General features: G+C 37.1%; 2 annotated features.

Moving 5' to 3' along the window:
- Positions 12,127 to 12,627: an enhancer, noted in NCBI's record as "H3K4me1 hESC enhancer chr13:105175131-105175631 (GRCh37/hg19 assembly coordinates)". NCBI's record gives its function as "activates a minimal SCP1, AML or CMV promoter by ChIP-STARR-seq in naive H9 embryonic stem cells {active_cell/tissue: H9 hESC(naive)}" and the evidence as "EXISTENCE:reporter gene assay evidence [ECO:0000049][PMID:30033119]".
- Positions 12,628 to 13,128: an enhancer, noted in NCBI's record as "H3K4me1 hESC enhancer chr13:105174630-105175130 (GRCh37/hg19 assembly coordinates)". NCBI's record gives its function as "activates a minimal SCP1, AML or CMV promoter by ChIP-STARR-seq in naive H9 embryonic stem cells {active_cell/tissue: H9 hESC(naive)}" and the evidence as "EXISTENCE:reporter gene assay evidence [ECO:0000049][PMID:30033119]".

Genomic DNA, 14,059 nt, shown 5'->3' with positions numbered 1-14,059 from the left:
TTTCTTTTTTTTTTTTTTTTTTTTTTTTTTTTTTGTTTTGAGATGGAGTCTTGCTCTGTCACCCAGGCTGGAGTGCGGTGGCGCAATCTCGGCTCACCACAGCCTCCGCCTCCCGGTTTCAAGTGATTCTCCTGCCTCAGCCTCCTGAGTAGCTGGGATTACAGGCATGTGCCACCACACCCGGCTAAATTTTGTATTTTTAGTGGAGACGGTGTTTCTCCTTGTTGGTCAGGCTGGTCTCGAACTCCGGACCTCAGGTGATCCACCCGCCTCGGCCTCTCAAAGTGCTGGGATTACAGGTGTGAGCCAACCATGCCCAGCCCTTTGTGTTTTTCAAAAACACCAAGCCCGCGCCTGCCTAAGGATCTCAGCTCTGCTGCCCCCTATCTGTCATTCTCATTCCTGATCTGCCATAGGTAGCTCCTTTCATCAGTCAGATCGAAATCTCACCAACACCCCATCTACTTTCACTCTCTTTACAATTTACCCGGTTTATTTTTTTCTAGGACTTACAATCCTCTGAAGAATTTCTCCCCCATTGTTCATTTTCTTTCTTCCTGCCTGGAATATAACTCCAGGAAAACATGGACATGACTGTTTGGTTCATTGTCCTGCCCCAGCGCCTAGAATGGTGCTGAATATCAAGTGAATACTGAATAAATGTGATTCTTAATAAATACATTTCATATTTTAACAACAAGTCTTCTTTCTCTCATTAAGTTTAGCAAATAAAACTGCCAGATAAGCTTTGGAACACATACTGTTAAACAGGTTCGTAAATGTTTTTGTTTTGTTTTGTTCTTTAGAAGAAGAGAATATCTATTGCTTCCTCCCTTCTAGATGTGCTTCTAATTGATTTTACCACAGGTAGAATCTATTTTAACAAAAGTTATATCTAAGACATTAAAATATGTGAATATATTAGATCAACAAATATAATTCCCATACCCTCTGATCTACTACAATATTACCATTACCATTATTATTATGGAAAATTTATCTTTAAATTTTTCTCATCTTGTTTAGGTTATCAGAAAAAAAAGGCAGACATTCTTTCCAATATCAACTGACAAATTCTCCAGTTAGTCAAAACACAAACTCTTTTATCTCCTATGTCCCCATCAAAATATAAAAATAAATAAGTCAGTTAATCTGAAAGCCTTGACTAGAAGGCCAATGACAGCCATATTTCTGAGAGACGCAGAGCTTCAATCTGAGAGATAGAAGAGTATCTGAAATCCAGCAGCAAGAGAGAAGAATCTCCTTTATTATTGACAACTCAGGGTTTCTGGCCATCAGCACCTTTTAGTTACGCCTGTCTTCATTTCTTTCTGAAATTTGTTCCTGAATTATACTATTGCAGTTTAAAACAAAAACACCGAAACTGATTTTTTTTAACTTTTCATCATAACATTTTGGTCATAAAAAAGAAAAAAAAACAAATCAAGAATGAAAGGAAATGTAAGCTCACTGATAATAATCTATTTGATTTTGCTCAGTAAATAAAAGATAATGATAAACAGCATATTGATATCTACTAGACAATATCCATGTATTCCTTATATTAATTCTGTGGAATAGGTATGATTTGTATTCCCATTTTAAAGATAAGGATGCTGAGCCATTGGCATCTAACTTTTCCCTAAAGAAATAGCAACTTTCACTTCTACAGAACAGATGAGAAAACTGTCTTGAACTTAATTGAATGGAAACTCAGACACAGCGTCAGCTTACTGGGGGGCTTATCCTCAGAGGTGTGCTAGCATTCAGAGTCCATAGTAAATGATCACCCACTCTGTGACTTGTAAAACCTTTGGTATTGCCTTTATTTACTCAGTTCGAGGTTATGATGGCCAAATAGGTATACAGGCCGGCTATATCAATGGAAGAATGTGTGTATCTTGACAACAATCTAGCCCTTTCCCTCAAATTGAAACTGGATCAATTAATCACAACAATTCAAAAAAGTCACTTACTTTTTCAAGTAGGTAAATCTGTATCTTCCTTTATTCCTGAGACTGTCTTTGAAAGTGATGACAATGACCCTGAAATAAGAAAAATATCATATTTGTGCTTAGGTAGTATTGGAATTTAAACCCTTCTTTTAAATTATTTGAAAATGTACTAAATGAGCACTGCGAAACAATATTGGCTAAGGATTTCAAATTTTTTTTAGGCTCCATATTTTTTCTACACTAATAAAAGAGCCCAGAAAAAAAAATCTATCTAAACAGTGTGAGAAAGAAAAATCTAATAAATAAAGAAGCAGAAAATTAATTTTAGACTACCCACAGAACAAATTATAATCGTCCTCTGAATGTCACGTACAGAAGGTGAGATATTAACTTTAGACATTTTTTCCCACTATGAATCCCAGTTTTATTAAGTTTTCAATAGTAGATGAAAGTTTCAAATTTTATTAAGTCTTCAGAAAATATCCCAAGAAACACTGTGCTTCAGTGAGTATCAGAGAAAGGAATATGTAAACACTCAAACTGTGCATATAAAGCAAATTAATTTATATCTTATTTTAAAATACAACATGCTTCAGTGGTGCTAGCAAAAGACATAGTCTTCACTTACCAGAAATTAAGTGAGTCTCTAGAAAATAAAGTATAATTATCTCTTGACATCAATGCTTACATACTCAACTGTGGAAGAATATTTCCCATAATGAAAGGAATCACAAAGAGTACCTACACTCGTGGATCTGTTTACTGATTTGGTGCTTACATAACATAAAGAAAGATCTTCAAGGAAGGTTTCATATGTATGCCACAACTGTGAAAACTTTCAGATATCATTTTTGCCAAATCTTCCACAATCCCTGATTACAATTTTTTTCCATGTAGGCAAATATTTCATCAAAATGTTTTTTTTTCTCATTTTATGAGAGATAAAGTTTACTTATATTAAAAAGGACAATTTCAGTTAATGTCAGTGTTTGGAGGAGAGATTAAGTTAAAGAAAATGATGGCAGATGATAAATTATTCTTTAGAAGTAGCCAAGTGTGATAAATTTTCATCAGCAGATTAATCATAAATCCAGCCATAAATGCAGTCATTAATGCTGACTAAACAAATCAAAAAAGCTAAAACTATAGTGTCAAATACTTGTTTTATAAACACACAAATGTTTTCACACTAAATCAAACTCAAAGAAAAACTGGTGATTTTAAGCAGCTAATAACTTTGAAGAGACATAACACCAGTAGTTGAACATTTTGTTCCTGGATTCTAAAACAATTTAAAATTATGACAAAAAAGTTTTATGTATTAATATAGGATAAGATTAGTATCTTTTAAAGGAAGGATCCAGGTTCACACATCATTAATTTTAATAAATGAATCAATGCCATAATCTATTTCTTAGCTTTCCTTTTTATATGGATGATAATAATAAAAATATATGAAGTGTGAAAATATTTTCTTTTTTATGTCTTGGATCCCTGAAGATCTTGAAATTTTTTTAGGAAACATTTTGCCATCTCAAAGCTAGGGTCCTCACATTCTCACATTCTTTACTTGGAGGCTGTTGATTCATAGAAGACAGTTAAATGAAATTTTGGGAATACTATTCCCATAAAGGATGCCCTTAGACTCCTATGTATCAAGGCTCCTTCCAGTCAGGGGACAATGTCTAAACTGTCCCCATATCCCTCACAACCCTTCACCCCTAATGCCAAACTTCACATAAGATCTGTCCTTCATTACCATCTGCCAGAGGATGAAATTCATCAAGTGCATTAATATGCACGTGTTTCAGAAATGAGATGTTCTTGCTCTAGTCTCTCGCACATGCAAACTGCAAATCAAAGAATCCATGACAATTAGAATTTTCAGTGAGTTTATTGCTTCTAATCAGACTTAACAAAGTACTTTCATGTAAAATGACACCACCATCACCAAGTGATGTAAGTGCAAATAATGAAAAAGCAAGCTATAATTACCAAAATCTCTATAATCATGATTTGAGCCAATAAATACCCCCTAAATTATATTGATCCACGTCAATCTCTGCTTCAAAGCCACATACAGACTACGTTTTAATTGTAATCAAATATCGCAATGCCAGTTGTACGTGTGTGTGTGTGTGTGTGTGTGTGTTACTCTAACAGAGTTATTTCTACATCTGTTTCCTTTTAGTTATTCTGTAAAATAAAATATTAAGTCTGAGTTGGCACCATATTTCTGACTTAGCTACATTTATTTTATACATTTAGGCTCTTGCTTTTGTAAAAGTCATATTTTCTCACATATTTCAGAAAGTGTGTGAGACAATGAACAAATAAGAATGTTTGATGTTTGGACTCTAGTATTTTAAAAAGTTGTCTGTTTCACTAAAGAGGGTTACCAAGAAGACATCAGATATTTCTGCTTGAAAGAAATAAAAGCTATATGCCTCACATTATTCACAGCCAAACCAAACAGGCTACTGTGGTATTCATAAATCCCTCTGAATTAAGTCAAACATGCATAAAATCAGGCTTCTTTTGTGGCAAACATTTCTTCCAGCTGAGCCCAAGAAGAGAATAAAAAGTTATCCAAATATCTATTGTTAAGCTGAGGACAACTTTAAAAAGTAAATGTCATGCCTCTGTTGGAGTCTTCCTGACAATTTCCTAATTTTAATAAATTGTCTGTGAGAACTGTGATCAACCTTGTTTCCATTCAGAATGAAGAACATAGTTCCAAATGCCATTGCATTAGCTTTAAGTAATGTCACAGTGTTTGGTGCTTTATTTTGTTTTATTAAGATTCAGGTAACTCACTTTCAAGTAAACAAATGGAACATATTCTCAAAAAAGCCTAGTGTTTTCTTGCAAGGAAAAATTCCAATTTCTTACACTTCTATGGATGAAAAATAAATACATTTTGCAAATATGATATCCATTCCCCAAAATATGTAAAAGATTAAAAGTAATTTAAAGCTGTTTACAATGTGATCATTTAAGGGGAAGTTGTATTTTAATTAAATTTTGTATTTCAATTCATTTTGAATTGGATTGAGTATGAAAAGAGAAAGGCTATTTTTAATATAATATTTGGGGTCAGAGTCAATAACAATCACAATCACAAAAACAACAAATATGCGACACGTTCATGTTGATCGAGTCTTAGGTGCATTAAACATCAACAAGCAATCACCAACTTTCAACTGTAGCTGGGACAAAGACAGGCCTGATTAATTTTCTGTTTCCAGATATCCTATCACCTACCCGAACTCATAGCTTATCTGGTGACACTGATGAAATATTTCTATTTCCCTAAACCACAGGTGGAGAATAAATGATAAGCCAAATGTAATTTTGGTCAAACCCACTGCATTTGGGATTTGTAGTAGACAGTCCCCTCTTTTCAGATGTACAGAACACAGCCAACTCCAAAATCCTTTGCCAATGCACTTACAGGTAATTTTAGAAACTGCGTGCACTCCAATTGAAAAGTTAATACCAGCCTCATTCATTTTTACTTTAGCCATCAAGATGTTAATTGAAAAGAATTATTTGTCAGTCCCAGGAGCTTGCTTCCATGTTAAGAAATAGCATTTTGCTAAGGTAAGCAACAGGTATCTCTAAAAGTTTTAAATTAAATTTTACATTCTAGTAACCTCGTTTCTACCTTGTGGTTGCCATTCTCTTTAATATTTAATAGGACTTTGGAAGCAGAGATGTTCTATAGCAGAGCAGTAAAAAATGATTATTACAATATTTATTAAAGTCATCAAGATGATATATGAACCTTATGAGTCACAAGTATCAAATTTTACATAATATTGAAAACTCTATGGTGAAATATGCAATGGAGTAGATTTATTCATAACTGAAGGAATACTCTACTAATGTCACCATTCTTTTTATATAAAGGCTCTTCATGTTCTAAGATATATGCTGCTGACCCACAATGAAAACTAGTCCTAAAATTCCAAAAAATCCTAAAAATATCCTAAAAGTTCTAAAATTAAAACTATATAAATCGATAATGGAAATATAAAATTGAACTATGAGAAAAATAAATGTTTGACTCTGTCAAAATCCCAGTGAAAATTACTCTAGTTGAAGTCTCACGTGGTTCTTGCTGTCCAGAGATGAATACTGTGAAACTCCTTCCAATTACAGAACGCTATAAATTGGCTTAAAATGCAATGGTACCTTCAGATTTCCCTCCTTGACTAATGCATTTAAAGGACTGAATAACACAATTAAAGGACCATTAAACAATTAATATATGAAATGTGTAGAGGATGAAACAATGAAACTAATGAACTGGTAAACCCGTCTTCTGAAAATTTGTAACTTAAGGATGGAGACAAATGTACAAATTACTCTAATAAAAGAAATAGTTCTAACTGGTGAGTAAAGTTTCAGTCAAAGCCTATTTTCAGCACAGGTAGTTAAGTATTTATTCCCCTTTTGCAACAGATGCATTTGAGTCCCTACAAATAGGGAGCACTTAAATAACAAATATAAAAGAAGGTCAGCCTTCTCCACACCTTAGTGGGGGAGGGGGTGGGTTTTACGGTTCTTAAAACTGTCCTTCATTCTCTTTGTATTCACCCCACTCACCCACAAGATTCAATCCCCAGTGCCTTGGAATCGCTTGGTATACATTTTATTGATTACTTATCAAATTCATAAAGGAAGTCATACTATATAGAAACTCAAGGGTACAATTTAAACATTCTAGAAGACAAAATTTCTTGGGCTAAGAGTTCATTCTTCGGTGTTAGAGAAGGCTCTGAAAAATCAGGGCCATTGAAATGTATTTCAGTGTTTGGAACTAATTCTGAACAGAATGAGTAGCAATCAGAGGATTTGAATATGACAGTGTCATAAACACATATATATTTGGAACTTAAGTCTTGATACAGTAGATTAGAGGATTAAAGAACAGGAACTAGAAATAAACAGTTCACTTATAAAGGAACTGCAATCATTTACAGGTGTCTGGAGCCAGGGCAGTGGCAAAAGGTAGCAGGTCACTCACAATAGCGGATCTTGTGCCACTCAGTGCTCTAGGAAAACAGCAAAGCTGGAGAGTTGAACAGGAGAGTAAGTTTGCATTAGGAAATGTTGAGTGTGACAGATTGGATTAGAGGTTTTGGGAAATGAGGTCTAGAGCAAGTTTGCAATGTCCATACAATACATTTTATTCTTATAAGTGTATAAATGGCGGTTTAAAAACATGGATGTGTATCTAATGTTTTGAAAGTGGTGGGGCAAGGTTGTACAAAAACATCAAGGCGAAGAAGGAAATTTGAAGAATATATTTTATGGGCAGGACCATAATATATATAGTCATGAGTCACTTAAGGATAAGGATATGTCCTGAGAAATACATCTTTAGGCAATTTCATTCTTATGTGAACATCGTGGAGTAGACTCACACAAACCTAGATGGGATAGCCTACTACACACTTAGGGCATTGATATAGCTTATTGCTTCTAGGCTACAAACCTGTACAGCATGTTACTGTACTGAATATTGCAGGTAATTATAAGACAGTGATGAGTATTTGTGTATCAAGCATATATAAATATAGAAAAGGTAAAGTTAAAATACAGTCAAAGGAATAAAAAAAAATGATACATCTGTATAAGGTGCATACCATGAAAATAGTTTGTGAGCCTGGAAGTTGCTCTGGATGAATCAGTGAGTGGTGAGAGAATGTGAAGGCCTAGGACATTATTGTACACTATTGTAGATGCTATAAACACCGTATACTTAGACTACACATTATTTTTTAAATTTTCTTTCTTAAATAATAAATTAACTAGCTTACTGTAACATTTTTGCTTTAAAAACTTTTTTAGCTTTTGACTCTTTTGTAATAACATGTAGCTTTAAACATGCACACATTGTACAGCTGCACAAAAATGTTTTCTTTACATCCCATTCTATAAGCTTTATTCTATTTTTTACTTTTTATTTTTTCTGTTTGGCTTTTAAATTTTATTGTTAAAAACTAATAAGGGTACCTACACCACTAGTTATTTTTCAAACATGAACTGTACATTTTCACATCTGCAACTTCACATATCTTATTTTCTTTTTCTTCTACCCTAAATGTCCTACTTTCAACAGCCATATGGATGCCCTTTGTATCCCCAAAGACTTAATCAAGGGCTGCCTTCTCTGAACGTGCTAAATTTTCTAGTTTTGCTAAAGATAGAGAAACACAATTTAAAAGACTAATTTTTTCCCCACATAGTACCCATTTGATAAATCCTTATAGGATTAATGAAAAATATCTTACTCATGATTAACTACCCTGAAACCACAAGATAGCCATGTATGAAGCTATGGACTCTGGAATATTTGTATAAATGAGTATTTTTAAAAAATAAATTAAAATAATAATATATCCTTTTTCAGGGCATCTGGAAGGAAAAAAAAAAACAAGTACGATGAACAGTCACTATAAAACTTTCCATAGTAAATAAAAGCTGTCATATTTTTCATTTTAAGTTTAAATTTATTTTTAAAGGAAAAGCAAAGGAAATTGGGTTGAAAAACTTGTTTAAAATATGCCCTCCAAGGCCACCCACCCAATATTCTAACCTTTAACTGACTAATTAGGTCCACTTGCTTTATGAGACATGTGCTTTAAGAACTAGGATAATTCTTAATAGTATAGCCAGGAAAAACAACAGAAGTAGAAAAATATTTTTATAGTTGAATAACTTGGCACCAGTTTTCCTGCAACTGAGAACACATTTTGACTATCCTTTGTGAGTGTTTGGAAAGACAAAAAGAATTAAGATTCACAAAAAAGGTTTATGAAACAGTTTTAAATAATTTGTATATCAGCACAGAAATGGAAGTACTCCCTTTACTGATAATTTAAATAATCAATCATATACAACCTTATTTTAAAAAGGAACAATGAATCCTGAGGGATGTATAATGTAGCATGAAATTAAAACTAGGTTGACTCAACTGACATTAAATTTGACTGAGGAGAGACTTCTCTCAAAAGAACACCTGCCCTTTCAATCCTAAAATCAATTTACGGGTCAAATGAATTAGCTATATTAGTAAAAGCCTTCCACAGCAGGGAGAATCCACAGTCTCTGATATGGCCCTGAAGCCCATTTATTTATTTGTATTGAGTTAAAAGTTAAAAGACTATGATTGATTATTATCTTATTTCAAACCCTTGGTACCTAATATTGAAATTATCCTGTATTTTAATTAAGTTTGAAATTATTATGGATTTTATTGATGAGTGGAAATTTATAGATATTGGCCAAATCATTGAGAGAGATCAGGATGATGAGATTTAGATTTTAATTTAGTCTTTTTCTTTTAAAGAAATCTAACTCTAAGCAACATAGAAAATAGGACATTATACTCTATTTGTATTCTGAAAGCAATACAGACACATGCACAAATACACATGTAAACGCTTATATGTATATGAAAAAGAGACAGAGAGAGAAGGCTTATAGAGAAATTGAATCAGCATTTTGAAAGTGATTTTTTTTAACTAGATTGAGATGATCACTCCATATGGAGTTGGAGTTCTCTGTAAATGCTTCAGAAATTGTCTGTATCCCTACAGGAACAATCAGTGGTGGTAGCACTGCACGACACCTTGCGAAGAGAAGTTGATCGTGTGGAGTGGAGTGTTGCATGGAGTGCAGCATTCAATCAGTGTTGTGTGGAGTGCAGTGTCATAAGCAGTGGAATGGCCAGGCAGTGCTGCCAGCCTCGGTGGGGTCTCAGAGTAGACCAGTTGGGGGCAGCCTCGGTGGGGTCTCAGAGTAGACCAGTGGGGGCAGCCTAGGTGGGGTCTCAGAGTAGACCAGTGGTGGCAGGACAAATGCAGTCAGCACTGATTTGTAAACACACAAGAGAGAATTCTGGAGCACCCCAAAGGGGGAGGGTAATGTGGACAAGGGTGCTGAAGCCCATTAGTTATGCAGATAAGAGTTGTGGGGCTTGGAACATCTGAATGTTATTAATGTCCACTGACTGATGTGTGCTAGAAACATATGCATTGCTTTAGCATGCATGTCCCTAAAGGAAGAAGTGAAAATCCTACATGAGAATACATTAAATTAAAACTGCTTGGAATTCAGAAGAACATCTGGACTGAATCAGAACAGACACTCCTCCCTGAGCCACTTTGATAAAGGATTACCATCATGATCTTAGTGATGAGAGCCTTGAAATCAGTACTACAATTCAGAACCCATCAGCTTTGCACTTGGGTTTGGTAGAAAACAGTATATATATATATATATGTATGTGTGTGTGTGTGTGTGTGTGTGTGCGCGCGTGTGTATATATGTGTACATATGTATGTGTATATGTGTGTGTGTGCGCGCGTGTGTATATATGTGTACATATGTATGTGTATATATGTGTGTGTGTGTGCACGCGCGTGTGTATATATGTGTACATATGTATGTGTATATATGTGTGTGTGTGCGCGTGTGTATATATGTGTACATATGTATGTGTATATGTGTGTGTGCGCTTGTGTATATATGTGTACATATGTATGTGTGTATATGTGTGTGTGCGCGCACGTGTGTATATATGTGTACATATGTATGTGTGTATATGTGTGTGTGCGTGCGTGTGCATATATGTGTACATATGTATGTGTATATATATGTGTGTGTGTGCGCGTGTGCATATATGTGTACATATGTATGTGTATATGTGTGTGTGTGCGCGCGTGTGCATATATGTGTACATATGTATGTGTATATATGTGTGTGTGTGTGTATATATACTACCCCTCCAACTGTTTAGATTCGTGTATTCTTAACAAAATGTTCCATCATTCTCAGAAAGTTACAATGAATGAACCCTATCTGGAACCATAGTGAGGGATGCAAATTAGATGCAAAGAGTGTGACTTTAAAGTCTTTGGTGCTCGGAATAAACAAAAACAGAAACAAGCACATCTTATAAACGTCAACTCTGAGGTGATGCGTTTTTTCTTTTGTTTCCCGTGTCTAATGAGTTGAATTGCGTCTCTCCCAAATCTGTGTCCACCCAGATCCTCAGAATATGACCTTATTTGGGGATAAATTATTTGCAGATCTGACTAGTTTAGGATTTGGGATGAAATCATTCTGGATGTAGCATTGGTTCTAAATCAACTGACTGATGTTTTTATAAGAGAAAGAAAGAGAGATTCAAATGCACAGAGATACAGTGAGAAAAATCATGTGAGGACAGAAGCAGGGATTTCAGCTGTGCTTCCGTTAAGTCAAAGATTGCTAGGAGCCCCCAAAGCTGGAAGAGGCAAGGGAGGATTCTCTACCAGAGCCTTCAGAGAGAGTGTGGCCTTGCCAACAACTTGATTACAGATATTTGGTCCCCAAACTTGTGAAAGGATAAATTTTCATTATAGCAGCCCTAGAAAACTAATGCACAGGGTATATCACATACAATTTGGAAAAGGTTAAGCTTTCAGAGAAAGCATCTACTCATGGACTACAAATTGTAAAAAATACTCTGCATCACAGATAAAATCAGGGAATGCAACAATTAGATATAATAAAGATAAAATGTCCTTCCATGTTCTGTACTTTCCATGCTCAATTTAATTTACATTTAAAAATCATTACTCACTGAAGGTAAGTTTAACGGTAGAAAACTCTGGAATTTGTGGGCAAAAGATATAAAATGAACACCATAGTGTTTGCATCCCTTTTTTTTTTGCCGAGACACCCTAATATTTTAGATGCTCTTAGCCAGTTCCTGCTGCTATAACCAAGTCCTTTAGACTGGATGATTTATAAACCATGGAAACTTGTTTCTCATAATTCTGGAGGCTGGGAAGTCCAAAATCAAAACACTGGCAGATTAGTTATTTGGTAAGGGCTGGTTGGCTGCTTCCAAGATGGAGCCTCACTGCTGAATCGTCCAGTGGTGAAGAATGCTCTGTCCTTACATGGTGGAAGGGACAAAGGGGCAGGCAGCTCTCTGAAACCTCCTTTATAAGCCATTTATCATATTCATGAGTGTGAGGCCTTCATGACTTAATCAAGTTCCCAAAGCCTTCACCTCATCATATCATCACAACAGGGATTAAATTTCAACCAGAATTTTGGAGGGTCACAAACATTCAAACCATAGCAGATGTCATAAAAATTATCACCATTTTGATAGAAAGGGAGTATGAAAAAATATTTCAGGGCGAGCCAAGATGGCTGAACTGCAAACGGCCCCGCTCTAGGGCTCCCACCAAGAAGGACAAAAACGCCCTGTGAATTCTGCCTGTTCAACTGAGGTACCAAGGTTCTCTCATTGGGACTAATGAGGCAGTTGGCATGACCGAGGCAGAGGAGGAGAAGCAGGGTGGGGTGAGGGCCCACCAGGGAGATGCACGGGGCAAAGGGAGCTTTCTCCCCCAGCCAAGGGAGGCCATGAGGGATTTTGCTACCCCGGTCCCTACCCTTCCCCCTCCACCACGAAAATGGCGCTTTTTCCACGGATCCTTGCAACCTGCTGATCAGGAGGTCCCCACATAAGCGCAGGCCACCAGGGCCTTGGGTCTCAAGCACAGAGCTGTGAAGACACACAGCAGCTGCTGGGGTGGGCAGCCATTGGAGCAGGCACTGAAACACAGGAGTATCTGCATCCTGCGCTCTGGGAACTCCCGTGAGGCAGGAGATCCGTCCACTTCCGTGGGAAAAGTACTGAAGCCAGGGAGCCAAGCGGCCTTGCTCCCATGGGTCCCCACACGCTAAAACCCACTTGCCTGGAATCCCCACTGGCCACCGCAGCAGGCTGCAGACTTCCTAAAAAGACCATGTTCTGGGGCGGGGAAAGAAGGCCACCGTCACTGCGGCTCCAGTCCGCATAACATAATCCCCCACAGTTCTCACAGGTTTTGTTCCCTCCTTTTTATTCTTTTTTTCTCCACAATTCCCCACAGTGCAGCACAGCTGCCCGCTGGGCCAGTTCCAGGCCAGACTGCTTCTTTAAGCAGGACCTTGATGATCCGCCCCGCTTCATCAGGCGGGGACTCTCTGTGGGAATGTCAGCATCCCCAGGCAGAGGTTTATGGACAGAACTCTCATATCCCCGATCAGAGAGGAGTCCCTGGGAGGAGGGGTGGCTGCGGTATGGTGGATGAGCAGTCAGCCTTTTCTGTCTGTCGCCTCTGGAGAGTCAGGGCAGCTAGGACGAGGGTGCAACACACCCGTTCTGCCAAGGGGCAGTCAGACTGCTTATTTAAGCAGGTCCCTTTGCCTGCTCCTCCTAAATGGATGAGACCTTCCAACAGGACTCTCCAGACACCTCATACTGGAGTGTTCCTGCCGGCATAAGGTTGGTGCCCCTGGAAAGGAGCAGGCTGCCATTTTACTGGTCTGCAGCCTCTACTGGTGATACTTCCAGAGGCCGGAGGGAACCAGGTGAATAGGGTTTGGAATGGACCCCCAGCAAACTGCAGCAGACCTATGGAGGAGGCGCCTGACCGCTAAAAGAAAAACAGAAAGAATCAGCAACAACAACATCAATGAAAAAGACTCCACAGAAACCCCATCCAAAGGTTAGCAGCCTCAAAGATCAAAGGTAGATAAACCCACGAATATGAGAAAGAATCAACACAAAAATGCTGAAAACTCAAAAAGCCAGAGTGTCTCTTCTCCAAATGATCGCAACATGTCTCTAGCAAGGGCACAGAACTGAGCTGAGGCTGAGATGGATGAATTGACAGAAGTAGGCTTCAGAAGATGGGTAATAACAAACTTCGCAGAGCTAAAGGACTATGTTCTAACTCATTGCGAAGAAGCTAAGAACCATGATAAAACATTACAGGAACTGTTAACTGGAATAACCAGTTTAAAGAGAAACAATAATGACCTGATGGAGCTGAAAAACACAAGAACTTCATAATGCAAACACAAGTATCAATAGCCGAATAAGCTAAGTGGAAGAAAGGATAGATATCAGAGCTTGAAGACTATCTTGCTGAAATAGGCAGGCAGGAAAGATTGGAGAAAAAAAGAATAAAAAGGAGGGAACAAAACCTGTGAGAACTGTGGGGGATTATGTTAAAAGACTGAACCTACGACTGACAAGAGTA

Source organism: Homo sapiens, chromosome 13 (genome assembly GCF_000001405.40).
Source record: "Homo sapiens chromosome 13, GRCh38.p14 Primary Assembly".
Classification (NCBI taxonomy): domain Eukaryota; kingdom Metazoa; phylum Chordata; class Mammalia; order Primates; family Hominidae; genus Homo; species Homo sapiens.
Note: the sequence above shows the minus strand (reverse complement) of the source record. Positions and strands in the feature narration are given on the sequence as shown.